This window comes from Homo sapiens, chromosome 8, assembly GCF_000001405.40.
Source record: "Homo sapiens chromosome 8, GRCh38.p14 Primary Assembly".
In the NCBI taxonomy this organism is placed as follows: Eukaryota; Metazoa; Chordata; class Mammalia; order Primates; family Hominidae; genus Homo; species Homo sapiens.
The window spans coordinates 47,607,193-47,622,436 of record NC_000008.11 but is presented as its reverse complement, the minus strand read 5'-3'; the positions used below and the strand labels follow the sequence as shown (position 1 = coordinate 47,622,436).

At 40.4% G+C, this 15,244-nt stretch overlaps 1 protein-coding gene across 57 annotated transcripts in view, besides 1 other annotated feature; it reads right to left on the bottom strand.

Annotated features, from left to right (window-relative positions):
• Window positions 1–15,244, bottom strand: part of SPIDR (scaffold protein involved in DNA repair) — a 475,429-nt gene that overhangs the window by 113,870 nt on the left and 346,315 nt on the right. The gene's annotated exons all lie outside the window — the stretch shown is intronic.
• Window positions 11,887–11,956: a silencer, noted in NCBI's record as "silent region_19171". NCBI's record gives its function as "represses an Ori minimal core promoter by ATAC-STARR-seq in GM12878 lymphoblastoid cells {active_cell/tissue: GM12878}" and the evidence as "EXISTENCE:reporter gene assay evidence [ECO:0000049][PMID:35858748]".

Sequence of the window (15,244 nt, the reverse complement as noted above, 5' to 3'; positions counted from 1 at the left end):
TAATCAGCCCTTGGAGGACTATGCCTCCTGTGGCCAGGAGGCCAGAAGCTTAGGGAACGTCACAGGCTGTACAGCTGCTCCAAGCGGTGGGTCTCTGACTTCAAGTCTAAACCTTCTCCTGCCCTCTCCCCAGGCCTATTATTTTCCAAGTTATCAAGGTTGAAAACTTCAAAGCCATCTTTAGACCTTTTTGTTTTCCTTACTCCTCAAATCCTAACCATTGCTGAATCCAGATTTTTTCATCACTCAAGAAGCCCTTCTCTTGCATCCATTCCTCTGCTGGGCCTCCCTGCAGGGCTGACAGGGCTGAGCACCTCGCCCTGGACATTCAAGCTCTGAACTCTGCTTCCTGCCTGCCACTAAGACACTACTTGGATCATATCAAATGCCTCAGCAGTTTGCCCATAAGATAATTCTCAAGCCCTCTGCAACATGATCTCAATCTACCTTTCCAGTCTTATCTTGCAATGACTTCCCTCCATCTCACTCTGTCGCCTAGGCTGGAGTGCAATGGCACGATCTCCAGTCACTGCAACCTCCGCCTCCCGGGTTCAAGCAATTCTCCCGCCTCAGCCTCCTGAGTAGCTGGGACTACAGGCACCCACCATCATGCCTGGCTAATTTTTGTAGAGACAGGGTTTCACCATGTTGGCCAGACTGGTATTGAACTCCTGACCTCAGGTGATCTGCCTGCCTTGGCCTCCCATACTTGAACTTTTAAAGTTTGAAAATCTGACTGTAGTCTAGGCACTCAACTTAGAACTGAGCACACCTTTGATTTCTCTAATAAACATTTATGGGGGCCCTGTATTCACACAGCTCTGTGCCAGACGGCACTGAGAGGCCTGGGCCAAATGGATATGTGCACACACAGGCAAGAAAGGGCAGAGCCCCTTCCTTCAAAGACGCTCAGGTCATCAAGAGAGAGGCGCGCACAATAAGACAGAAGCGAGAACAGAGATGAGAGGATGAAGAGATCACATAACCCAAATCTACAATCTACAGACGAGGCAGCCAAGGCAGGGTGAGACTACATGACATGCCCAGATGATTCATTTGGGCTTCACTTTCAAGATGATTCATGTAAGGAATTATTAAAAAATGGAATGATCCAGACATTTGGAATTAGATAGTGGTGATGGTCACAATAACATTGTGAACACACTAAAACCCATATGAATTGGCCGGGCGTGGTGGCTCACGCCTGTAATCCCAGCACTTTGGGAGGCCAAGGTGGGCGGATCACAAGGTCAGGAGATCGAGACCATCCTGGCCAACATGGTGAAACCCCGTCTCTACTAAAATACAAAAAATTAGCTGGGCATGGTGGTGTGCACCTGTAGTCCCAGCTACTTGGGAGGCTGAGGCTGGGGACTTGCTTGAACCCAGGAGGCGGAGACTGCAGTGAGCTGAGATTGTGCCACTGCACTCCAGCCTGGTGACAGAGTGAGACTCCATCTCAAAAAAACAAAAACAAAAACCCAGTGAGAATTGTATACCCTTTAAAATGGTTTAAATGGGCCAGGCATGCTAGCTAATGCCTGTAATCACAGCACTTTGGGAGGCCGAGGTGGGTGGATCGCCTGGGGTCAGGAGATTGAGACCATCCTGGCCAACATGGTGAAACCCCGTCTCTACTAAAATACAAAAAATTAGCCGGGCGTGGTGATGTGTGCCTGTAGTCCCAGCTACACGGGAGGCTGAGGCAGGGAACTCGTTTGAACCCGGGAGGTGGAGATTGCAGTTAGCCGAGATCACGCCACTGCACTCCAGCCTGATGACAGAGAGAGATTCTGTCTCAAAAAAACCCCAAAGAAACAAAAAAACAAAACCGATGAATTGTGTATACCCTTTAAAATGGTTTAAATGGGCCGGGTGCGGTGGCTCATCCCTGTAATCCCAGCACTTTGGGAGGCTGAGGCGGGTGGATCACCTGGGGTCAGGAGTTCGAGACCAGCCTGGCCAACATGGCGAAAACCCGTCTCTACTAAAAATAAAAAAATTAGCCAGGTGTGGTGCCTGTAATCCCAGTTACTTGGAAGGGTGAGGCAGGAAAACTGCTTGAACCCGGGATGCAGAGGTTGCAGTGAGCCAAGATCACGCCACTGCACTCCAGCCTCGGTGACAGAGTGAGACTCCGTCTCAAAAAAAAAAAAAAAAAAAGGTTTAAATGGTGAGTTTCATCTCATAATCAAAACAAAACCAAATGATCCCATGTTACCATCACAGAGAGATCTAACTTGTCCTTCTCAAAACCTGGCTGAACTTTGTCTTTCAAAATGTCTTCCTTGACTACTCCTGGCAGCTGCTGTAATTCTCTGATCTGTATCCTGCTAGTACGCTTTCTATTAATAGCTTGCATTCTATTAGAATAGAACACATGCATGTGTATGAATACATCCTCTCTATCTTCCTGAAAAGATAGTGGGCTCCTTCAGCACAGACATGATATAGAATTCTCTGGTCAATCTTTAGCATAAACTTTCTTCTCTTCCTTCCTTTCCTCCTTATTCCTTTTTTCATTTAACTACACCACCTTAAAGGCAGCACGGTGGGGGAAATAGAATACATGTGCTGAGCAGGTGGCTAAAATTATTTTGTAACTAATATTAATAGAGTTGCTCTTAAAGACATTAAAGAGCCAGAGGAGAAAAGAATGTGAAGCTCAGCACTATAAAGACTTAGCACTTGTGGTTCCAGCTACTCAAGAGGCTGAAGCAGGAAAATCACTTGAGCCCAGGAGGTTGATGAGGCTGCAGTGAGCCATGACTGGGCCTAGGCAACAGAGTGAGACCCCATCCCTTAAAAAAAAAAAAAAGGGTAATATACATATATGCATATTCAGAGTATCATGTAGAAAAAGCAAACAGACTGATCCTATGTGACCCTACATGACCCTGAGAGGAAGCGTCAGTTCCAAGGGGCAGAAGATCCAGGGAGAGAGGTTCAAGCTCAAGATAGGAGAGAGCCTTCTAGGAAAGGGAGCTGCACAGGGGCTGCAGTAGAGCAATGTGCCACCATGGGAGGTGCTCAAATGTGCAGCTGAGACGAAGTAGTAAATCAATAATTTGTAACTAGTATTTAAGGGCCAATTGAACTCTTAAGATTCCATGATTCTGTTAACACCAAAAAGACATTTAAACCAAGACCCCAAACATCTAAATTATTTAAAGCTGAATAATCCTACCACCTAAAAAGACATATGCAGAGATTCATTGTGTAGAATTATATCTCAGAGCACACAAGATCAACTCCATGACTAAAACCAACTTAATCATTAACAAATCTTAAAGCTGGCCAGGACTCTGTTTTAGATTATTCATTACAAAAGGCTAATTTTTAACACAGGTAACCCATTCACATAGTTCAAAATTCAAACTTCTCCCTTCTATTCCTAACTGCCTCATTCTCCCATGGGGCAATTAAAGTTGCCAGCTTCTTGTGTATCTTCCAAAGATATTTCATGCATAGAAAGAACATTAGTGCCTATGGCACTTTGTTTTAACCAAATGGTAACACACTTTTGTGCTTGTTTTGGACCTTGTTCATTTATTATAATAATCCTTGTGATCATTCCATATTAACACAGACTGTTCACATTCCTTAATTTTAGATGACAGCATAGTATCCCATTTTTGACATTGATATTGTTCCTAAACTAAGTTGTAAGTTCTCATAAATAAAGCTAAAAAGACCAATGGAACTAAAAAACGATTACTTTAAAAGTTGGTTGCTCAGCTGTTCTTACCTCAAAGTACACACACACACAAACTATTTTAATTATATAAAACAATTATATGCGGGTTTTTAAAACTAAGGCCTTGTATATAGTAATAAATTACTTGCCAGGTAATTCTGAGAAAATAACACAATTGTTTATCTCCTTCGTGTATAATATGCACTGACATGTTTTCAAAATTTATATTTAGAAAATAAAATTATTAAAATCTATAGCTGAATAAAAAAATTAATTCCTGCTAAAATTTATAGAATGTTTACTGTGCAACCTATCTATCACCCTTGGTAATATTATATTACAGTTTGAGTTAATGTATGCACCTTAAAGGGAAAAATTTTTTTTAATTCATATCAGATTTTAATAAACTCAGTTTGGTTTTCCTTCAAGACTGAATAATGATAGCCGGACTGTATAGAATGAAGAGGATGACAGGAAAAGCCTTTACACCGATAGATGGATCTCTTTTGCAGAAGATAAAGGAATGAGATTATATTACTTAAAAAAAAAATCCAGCCAAACCAACTAGAAAATGACACGAGAGGAATTCTGATTCAAACACAAACCACGTACACAAAAGCGTGTTAACTCTGCATTGGTCTCCTGACTTTAGAGATCCTTGCCCAATACATTAAACCTCTGCAGTGCACTTACTGGCATTAAAGATATCTTTTGGCCTAAAGGAAATCTATTAGAACATAGCGTACCCAAAGCTGTGGCAAGTCTTGATGACATGATTGTCACTGCCCTGAAGACTGGGGCTTGTCTCTGGCGCACCCCAAGAACTGAGCAGCAGCTGAACACCAACAATGTGGCTCAGAGAAGCAATATTCATTTTAAGTTAGTACTTCCCACTCCCAAAATGGCATAAAGTAATCTAAGGTCAGTATTTTGGAAACATTAGCTCATATCATCCAGGACAAAACTTATTATGGAGGTGGCTTTTATTCATACAGATATTTTAGGACAGGAGCTGTTTTTTCTCTCTTTTGTACATGCCACTGTTTGCACTGCAGGATGATGTGACACAGTAGGCACTTGACAAAGGTCTATTAATGGAACAACATCTCTTATATATTATCCTATTTAACACTTGCAACAAAAGGCAACTTACAACAGGCCTTATTATTTCCATTTGACAGCACTGAAGGGTGATGCTGCATCTTTTGATGGCCCTAATGTCCATAAACTGATGAATGGATACAATCTGATATATTTATCCACTGCAAAATTATGTTTAAGGTCTTAGAAGTGCCCCCAATCCTATACCATTAATCCTGAAACAAACATGAATAACAGTTGACTTCAAAGACTACTCAGAAATTTAGCTTGTATGCCACGCCTTCTCTGATGTTGTTGTCTATGTCACAAATGCTCTTGCTTCAGACTATCTTAGGTACCAATGGAGGTAACAGTGCATGCTCCAGCTTCACCTCCCAGGCATTATAAAATGGGAGTTTAAAAATAGCTTAATTTTCTTAAAAAGTAACTTCATAGACACCAGACAAATCATGATTGCTACCTGAGCCAGCAACTATGATTAATGCCAGCAGAGATACATCATGTTGATAGTATGTACCTTTGATAGGATGTAATGAAAATGGAATTTTATGTAGGCAATCTTTTTCTCCCAAATCCATACCTGTCTAAATATATATAAAAAAAACACAAAATAAGGGATCCTCTACAAAATATCTGTCCAGTAATCCTCAAAATTGTCCTGGTAATAAAAAGCAAAAAGCATTTAAGAAAGTCTACAGGAGCCTAAGGAGACATGACAATGAGATGTAATGTGCTATCACGAATGGGGTGCTGCAACAGAAAATGGACATCAGGGAAAATCTAAGGAGATTTAAATAAAGTATGAACTTCAGTGAATAATATTGTGACAATACTGCTTAATTAATTGTTATGTATGTGTCATAATAATGTAAGATGTAACAACAGGGGAAACTGGGTATGGAGTACGTGGGAACACTCTGTATTTGGGAATGCTCTGTATTATCTTCGCAAACTTTTCTATACAGCTAAAACTATTTTAAAATGAGAAGCATGTTAAAAGTAATTAAATAAAAAAGTAATGATACGTACATATTTGTAAATTCCCACTATAGAGAATATCACTGCAAAGAAGGATCCAGTAGAATTGAACTGGTTCTATATCCTGATGACTCAAAGCAATTATTTCAGTAATTTGGTTATAAACACCTTCTCTACTAAGAATCACTGTAGGTAACACACTTCTCTGATTCCTAACTATATAGTATATAAAATTTAAAAAGTGTGATTATACTGTGCAGAAAAAGCACTTGACAAAATCCAAGATTCTTTCAGGACAAAAAAGACTCAACAAAGCAGGAAAAGAAGGAACTTCCTCAACCTGGCATAGGGCATTGATGAAAACTCCACAGCTAACACACTCAATGGTGAAAGAATGAGAGCTCTCCCCAAGATCAGGAACAAAACAATGATTCCTGCTTTTGCTACTTCCATTCAACGCTGTACTGGAAATTCTACCTACAGCAATTAAGAAAAAGAAATAAATAAAAAACAAATTGGAAAGGAAGAAGTAAAACTGTCTTTACTCGCGATGACAATCTTTTATGTAGAAAATTTTTTAAAAATCCACAAAAATCTGTTACAGCTAAAAACTTCAGCAAAGTTGCAGGATACAAGATCAACAAACAAAAATAAGTTGTTTTTTTTATACACTAGCAATGAACAATCTGAAAAGAAAATTAAGAAACAAACTGGTTTATAATAACATCAAAATAATAAAATAGAAATGTAAATAAGGAAATATAAGACTTGTACAATGAAAACTCCAAAACATTTCTGAAAGAAATTAAAGAAGACCTAAATAAATGGAAAGGCATCTTGTCTTCATGAACTGAAAAACTGAATATTATTAAGCTACTGCCATATAGTGATTCAATGCAATCCTTATCAAAAACCAATGGTTTTTGATAAGGCTCACCAGCCTGGCCAATACGGCGAAACTCCTTTTCCACTAAAAATACAAGAATTAGCCGGGCATGGTGGAGTGCCTGGGGTTTAGTGGAGATGTCCATTACAGTGTGTGCACCTGTATTCCCAGCTACTTGGGAGACTGAGGCAGGAGAATTGCTGGAACCCGAGAGGCGGAGGTTGCAGTGAGCCAAGATAGTGCCACTGTATTCCAGCCTGTGCGACAGAGTGAGACTCTGGCCGAAAAAAAAAAAAAAAAAAGGCTATTTTCGCAGAAATAGAAATGTCAATCCTAAGATTAAGGGGGAATTGCAATGAGCTAGCCAAATTAATTTAAAATGTCCCCAATACCTAAATGCATACACAGGCTAAAACTGTAACATTCTTGAACAAAAACACAGGAGTAAATCTTCATGACCTTGGATTTGATAACAGTTCTTAGAAAAGATACCAAAAGCACAAGCAACAAAAGAAAAAATAGACAATTTGAGTGTCATCAAACATAAAACTTGGCTGGGCATAGTGACTCACCCTTACAATCCCAGCACTTTGAGAAGCTCGCCTGAGTCCAAGAGTTTGAGGCTGCAGTGAGCTATAATCCCACCACTGCACTCCAGCCTGGGTGACAGAGCAAGACCCTGTCTCTTTAAAAAAAAAAAAAATTAAAACTTCTGTGTATCAAAGGACACTATCAAGAAAGTAAAAAGACAACCTACAGGATGGGAGGAAAATTTCGCAAAGCATGTATATTATAGGGGTCTTATATCTACAATATATAAAAATAGAACTCTTACAGAAATGCAAATCAAAACCACAATGAGATACCATCTCATGTCAGTCAGGATGGTGATTATTAAAAAGTCAAGAAACAACAGATGCTGGTGAGGCTGTGGAGAAATAGGAACACTGTTACACTGTTGATGGGAATATAAATTAGTTTAACCATTGTGGAAGACAGTGTGGTGATTCCTCAAAGACCTAGAACCAGAAATACCATTTGACTCAGCAATCTCATTACTGGGTATACACCCAAAGGAATATAATGTATCTTCATTCTATGATGAAGATACATGCATGCATATGTTCACTGCAGCATTATTCACAATAGCAAAGACAGAATCAACCCAAATGCCCACCAATGATAGACTGGATAAAGCAAATGTGGTACATATACACCATGGAATACTATGCAGCCATAAAAGGAACAAGATCGGCTGGGCGTGGTGGCTTACGCCTATAATTCCAGCACTTTGGGAGGCCGAGGTGGGCGGATCATGAGGTCAGGAGATCAAGACCATCCTGGCCAACAGGGTGAAACCCCGTCTCCACTAACATACAAAAAAAATTAGCCAGGCATTGTGGTGCACGTCTGTAGTCCCAGCTACCTGGGAGGCTGAGGCAGGAGAACTGCTTGAACCCAGGAGGCAGAGGTTGCAGTGAGCTGAGATCATGCCACCACTGCACTCCAGCCTGGCAACACAGCGAGACTCCATCTAAAAAAATTAAAAAATAAAAAAAAAAAGAAGGAACGAGATCATGTCCTTTGCAGGGACGTGGATATGGAGCTGGGAGCCGTTATCCCCAGCAGAATATCACAGGAACAGAAAACCAAACGCTACATGTTCTCACTTACAAGGGGGAGCTGAACAATGAGAACTTATGGACACAGGGAAGGGAACAACACACACTGGGGCCTGTATGGGGTAGGGAGTGGGGAAAGGGAGAGCCTCAGGATAAATAGCTAATGCATGTGGGGCTTAATACCCAGGTGATGGGTTGATAGGTGCAGCAAACTACCATGGCACACATTTACCTATGTAACAAAGCTGCACATCCTGCACATGTAACCTGGAACTTAAAATAAAATAAAATAAAATAAGAAAACTCTTACAACTCAACAATAAAAATACAATATAATTTTAAAAAAAGACTTGAAAAATCATTTCTCCATAGTAGATATGCAAATGGACAATGAGCACATGAAAAGAAGCTCATCATCAGTCATTAGAGAGATGTGAATAAAAGCCACAGTGAGATACCACTTCACACCCATTAGGATGGTTATTGTTACAAAAAGAAAATAGCAAGTGCTGGCGAGGATGTGGAGAAATTGCACCACTGGTGAAAATTTAAAATGATGTAGCCACTGTGGAAAACAGTAGGGTGGTTCCTCAAAAAGTTAAACACATAATTACCATATGACCCAGTAACTTACTCCTAAGCATATCTACACCAAGAGAAATGAAAACAGATGTCCACAGAAAAACTTCTGTGCAGATGTTCGTAGCAACATTATTCATAATAGCCAAAAAGTGAAAACAACACAAATGTCCATAAACTGATAAATGCATAAGATGTGATATATCTATACAACAGAATATTATTCAGCCATAAAAAGAAATGAAATACTGGTACATGCTACAGCATGGATGAGCCTTGAAAACATTATCCTAAGTTTAAGAAGCCAGACACAAAAGGTCAGATGCTGTTATCATTCTATTTGTATGAAATATTCAGAATAGACAAATACACAGAAACAGAAAGCAGACTGGTGGTTGCAATGGGCTGGGGAAGGGGTTAGTGGGGAGGGACTGCTTAATATGTACAGGATTTCCTTTGGTGTGACTGAACTGTTTTGGAATGATATAGAGTTGGTAGTACAGCATTGTGAATGTGCTACCACTGAATTACATACTTTAAAATGGCCAATTTTATGTTAATTTTATATCAGTAAATAAACAAATAAATATAAGTTAATGCATACATACACATACAATTCACATGGTTCTAGCAGGCATTCAGGGAGCCTGCCGCATAGCATCCATTTCCTCCGTGGCGGCAGTGACTGGAAACAGTCTCTTCTTATGGAAGCTTCCAGGTAGTGTATAAAGCGGACACATATAAATGCATATAAGTAAATGGGCATACTTAGTGTTGTTTTTACCACAATATTAACAGAGCACACTCTGTCCAGGCAGAGGTGACAGATGAGTCATAGTTGCCACAAGGCCTAAAAGTCACAGTGCTCACAGGTATGTGGCTTCATCGTTGCTCCTCAGCTCCTTGGGCTATACTCTCCCCAACTTTCCACCCAAACATAAAACAGAGACCAGATATTAATATTTAGGAAGCACCTGGAAGAAGTTCAAAACTGAAACATAAAAGTAAATTACCAGATAGTGCTTTTATGGTCTGCCATTAGGAATGACACTTTCTCCCAAATATGTGGTAGCTCTTGAACATATATCATTTCAGGAAATCTTGTTCTAGCCTTTTCTGAAGAGAGAATGATGCAACCATGAGCTGAGTACAAGCCAGAATTACGTTCAAAAATTTTAAAGACAAGATTTCCTGGTATCCTTGCTGTCACTGCAGTTTCCCACTTTTCCATAGCTCTTGAGGAGATAGGTCCTCAGAGATGTTCAGCTTCTCCTCATTCAATGTCTGTGGGATTCCAGAGTAGTCAGCGTTCTATTTAACTTACCTGTGTGCAAAGACTCGAGGTACAAAGCTGAATAAGCCACTTCTGAAGTTTTCCAAAAGTCTGATTTCATTGGGAGGCATCAAGAAGATTTTGACATTTATTTCACTCTTCTTCCCACTCCATAGCAGGCAAATATAATCTAGTCCTCTCTTGTTCCCTCCTCTAGGAGCTGTAGACAACCTGCACTGAGATTCCACACCAAAGAAAGGAAGGGTGGTCTTGCGCTTATGGGAAACCAGGTGGCAGGCCAGGTACGTGTGGAAGGCCTCACACAGTTGCCTTGACATACAACTACCAGAGGCCTGAGGAGTCTCTCCCCACAAGCTACCTCTTGACGGCTCAGTTCTCCTTTTTTGTTTAATTCAAATGATGAGTTCCTTCCTCTCAGGTAATTTTATTTCATTCAATGTTAAATGTCATATTTTAATTCTTCTATCATCTGCCTGTGGTTGCTTAATTTTTGCTTGAACTTTCAGTTCTATATTAATTGTAATAAATGCTTTAAAACCCTTACATCATTATCGACTGAATTCTCTATTTTCTTTTTTTTTTGAGATGGAGTCTCGCTCTGTTGCCCAGGCTGGAGTGCAGTGGTGTGATCTGGGCTCACTGCAAGCTCCGCCTCCTGGGTTGACGCCACTCTCCTGCCTCAGCCTCCCAAGTAGCTGGGACTACAGGCACCAGCCACCATGCCTGGCTAATTTTTTGTATTTTTAGTAGAGACGGGGTTTCACTGTGTTAGCCAGGATGGTCTCGATCTCCTGACCTCGTGATCTGCCCGTCTCGGCCTCCCAAAGTGCTGGGATTACAGGCGTGAGACACCGGGCCCAGCCTCTATTTTCTTTATAAACATCTTCACCCAAGAGCTGCCCTTGTTCCTCCCTTGCCACTTTCCTAAGTGTCCCTCCTTGTGCTGTTCCCTGTTTGTTTACACTGACTGAATATTCTTCAGGGACCTTGGTTCCCAGTGTCTCATCCTCTATCTGATTGGAACAGACTAGACATCACCTCTGTCCCAAAGCAGAGTATTCCTGGCAATTTCTAGCTCACTGGCATTCTCATCAATCTCCTTAGACAAACAACAACATTTGTAGCACAACTCCATGGACTGGTTCATCCTGAGAAGAGAAGGGGAGCCACAACCTCACCCCACCTTCTCAGCTGCTCAATCAGCCATTGCTGTTTCCCATCAACCCATACTTGCTGGGTGTCTACTGCATTCATGGTCCAGTACCAAAACCAGATGAGTCACAGCCCCTGACCTCTGAGGACTTATTTATGGTTAAATGAGACAACTGAAGTAAAGAAAACACGTAGAGCTTATTTTGAAGGCAATGACAAGTATCAGTGCAATGTTTAATACCTGGTTGTTAGTCTCACTATATAATCAAGCATCTGTCACTGTCTTTTGTATCTGTGCAAATAAATGTGAAAATTCAGACCATTTATAATACCAGTGCCAGAGCAGCAAGTGAGGAAGAAACAAGGGCATCTGTTCATGTATAATCCTCTCTCGTGGGAAGGGGGTGTCCAACCCAAGAATTGCTCTACAGGATTTTTGCTCCAGTTCCCTGTGGAGAAAGAGCTGAGCTGGCTCAAGCCATTGAGAACTGTGGAGCCAAGAAATCAGCACAACAAGGGTGAGCCTACCAAACCCGCCAGCTGGCTGCACCAAGTGCTCTGGGTCTAGCAGCAGCTGGGAGAGAGGGCAGAGTAGGTCATTTGACAGAGGCAAAAGGGGAGGAGAGGGGCAGCAAGGTGCGGTGGCTCAGCTAGAGGAGGAAGTCAAGTTGGGTCAGGCTTGATCTCATCCTTTCTCTGCTTCATGCCCACAGAGGCACGTGGCACTGTGTGCTTGCATCTGGCCACCCCTGAAGACTCTGCCAGGCTGTGTGCTCTGTCTCCCATGGCTCTTCTCTGTGCCGTCATCTCAGCAAAGCACATTCCAGAGCTGCAGTCTGACTCACAGGAAAGTGTGATCTAGTGTGATCACAGTGCTGCTCCAGATTGCAGCTGCAGGAATGGGGTGGGGGTACGGTGGGAAGAGTAGGGAGACTGTTCCAGGTCTCCAGTCTCTTTTAGGAACAAAAGTTTCCAGAGAAAGGAGGTCAGAAACAGGGAGGAAAAAATTCCATGGCTTTTATATAGGGCCACCTTGAAATCCTTCTTGATCTTCATGGATGACAGGTGCTGGAAAATCACCATGGCCAGGTTAAGACGCAAACTTAGAATGGTGGTTACACATAGCATAATCTGGAAAATTACTCTTGCTGTTTTCATTCTATTACCAAAACTTCATAATTGTCTGTACTCACATCCCCAGGCTGTTGCCATTCCATTTCACTTTTCCCTTTAAGTCTATCACTGGTTTAATATATAGGAAAAAAGAGCATGAAAACTTTCACAGCAGTTTTCATATTATCCGTAAGTTCACCAAGAAAGTTATTCAATGTGTATAGCTATAAATGATAACATGGGTCAAATGATACAGGTTGGTATTATCAAGTGTTTAAAGAGCGTGTACATATTACTTTCATATTATTTACACCTCTAACTCTACTCTGAAACTATTACTTTTTCAATCAGATAGCTGTAACCAAACACTAGATCAATAAAATGATAAAAGCTAAAAGAGACAAAGGGTGGAGAAATGGATCCATTTTCTGCCACCTACAAAGGAAGAAATGCTATGCACACAAAGACGTAACAGTGCAAACTGTAACAAATGCCAAAAATAAGATATACATTTAAATAAAATATAAAGACTACTACTAGTACTAAACATAATCTCTAACTACAAGGAGGGTCCAACCCACAATGTTGGACCATACACACAAATTAACTCAAAATGGATCACAGACCAAAATATAAGGGCAAAAGCTATAAAATTCTTAGAAGAAAACACAGAAGTATGTTTGCATAACCTTGGATTCACCAATGGTTTCTTAGCTATGACCCTGAAAACACAAGCAATAATAATAACAAAAATGACAAATTGGACCTCATTAAAATGATAAATCTTTGTGTTTCAAAGGACACTATCAAAAAAGTGAAAAACTCCACAGAATGGGAAAAAATATTTGCAAATGATAAAGGACTTATACAGAGAACTCTTACAATTCAACAACAAAAAATAATCCAACTTTAAAAATAGGCAAAGGACTTGAAAGACATTTCTCTAAAGAAGATATACAAATGGCCAATAGCCTATGAAAAGATGCTCAGCCGGGTGCGGTGGCTCACGCCTGTAATCCCAACACTTTGGGAGGCCGAGGCAGGCAGATGATGAGGTCGAGAGATAGAGACCATCCAGGCCAACATGGTGAAACCCCGTCTCTACTAAAAATACAAAAAATTAGCTGGGCGTGGTAGCGCACACGCACGTGTAGTCCCAGCTACTCGGGAGGCTGAGGCAGAAGAATCGCCTGGAACCAGGAGGCCGAGGTTGCAGTGAGCTGAGATCGTGCCACTGCACTCCGCCCTGGCGACAGAGCGAGACTCCATCTCAAAAAATAAAAAATAAAAAAAAGAAAAGATGCTCAACATTGTTAGTCATCAGGAAATGCAAATCAAAGCCACAATGAGATACCCACTTCAGACACACATGGATGGCTACAATAAGAAAGACAACAATAACAAATTTTGGAGTGGATGTGGAGAAAGTGGAACCCTGGTATATTTTACATTGCTGATGGGAATGTAAAATCGTGTAGCCACTTTGGAAAATACTGTGGCAGTCCCTCAGAAAATCAAACATAGAGTTACCTTATGACTCAGCAATTCCATGCCTAGGTATATATTCAAGAGAAATGAAAATATATCCACACAAAAAACTTGTATGCAGATATTCATAGTAGCACTATTCATGTTAATCATAAAGTGGAAACAACTCAGATGTGCATCAACTCAAAAGAGAAATAAAATATGGTATATTCACAGAAAATGGATTATTATTCATCCATAACAAGGAATGAAGTACTGAAACATGTCACAACATGGATAAACCTTAAAAATATTATGCTAGGTAAAAGAAGCCAGTCACGAAAGATTTGTGATTTTATGTATATGAAGTATCCAGAATAAGCAAATCTGTAGCGACAAAAAGTAGATGAGTGGTTGCCAGGGGCTGGGAAGAATTGGGAATTGGCAGTCAATTGGTATGGGGTTTCTTTTTGAGGTTGCAGAAAGTTCTAATATCGTATTATAGTTATGATTGCACAAGTCTGTAATTACAATAAACACAATTGAATTGTACACTTTAAATAAATGAATTTTATGGGATGTGAATTATGTATCAATAAAGCTCTTTAAAAATGTGATAGAGATAAGATAGATTCCTTCAGGTCCCCATGAGTCAAGTTCCAATTTCTAGATTGGAACTATGTATACATGACAGAACCATAAACACTAGACTGTAATTCCATGGGTTCTGATATGTCTTTATTCTTACAGTAAGTTGGCATGTGGACAGGAAGAATGGCAAAGAATATAAAGGGTCTGGATGTCAATTAGTAAAATAAGCAGTAGTAAGACTACTTCTACTACTAGAATTAGCCTTTGTGTGTGTTTGGACAGTGGAGAAAGACTCTTGGATCAAGCTTACTAGATTTCTTTTGAAAATATCTGACCACATTTTCAGGGAGTCAAAATGGTTGACTACCTTTTCAAAAGAAATTTAGTAAGCTTGATGCAAGAGTCTTTTTCCACTGTCCAAACACACACAAAGGCTAAGGCCCCTAATCATCACATCCATGATCTACTAGTGCATGTTCCTCATTAGGCTTTAATATTGAGCCAGGGCTGAGAAGAAACAATGTCAAATGGCCTTGGATATCATAAGGACTGCCAATAACTGTTTTAGAGAGGAAACAAGCAAAGGTTAAGAATAGATGGGCAGCTGAGATTAAAAGGTTTACTTAAGACTCATGGACACAGAACTAATTAATTAAGGGATGATTTAAATTTATTGAATGAGCAAAGGTAAGAACAAACCTAAGGCATGGGCTATGGCATCAATTACAAGGACATGCAAAAAAAATGATACTCTGCACTCACAA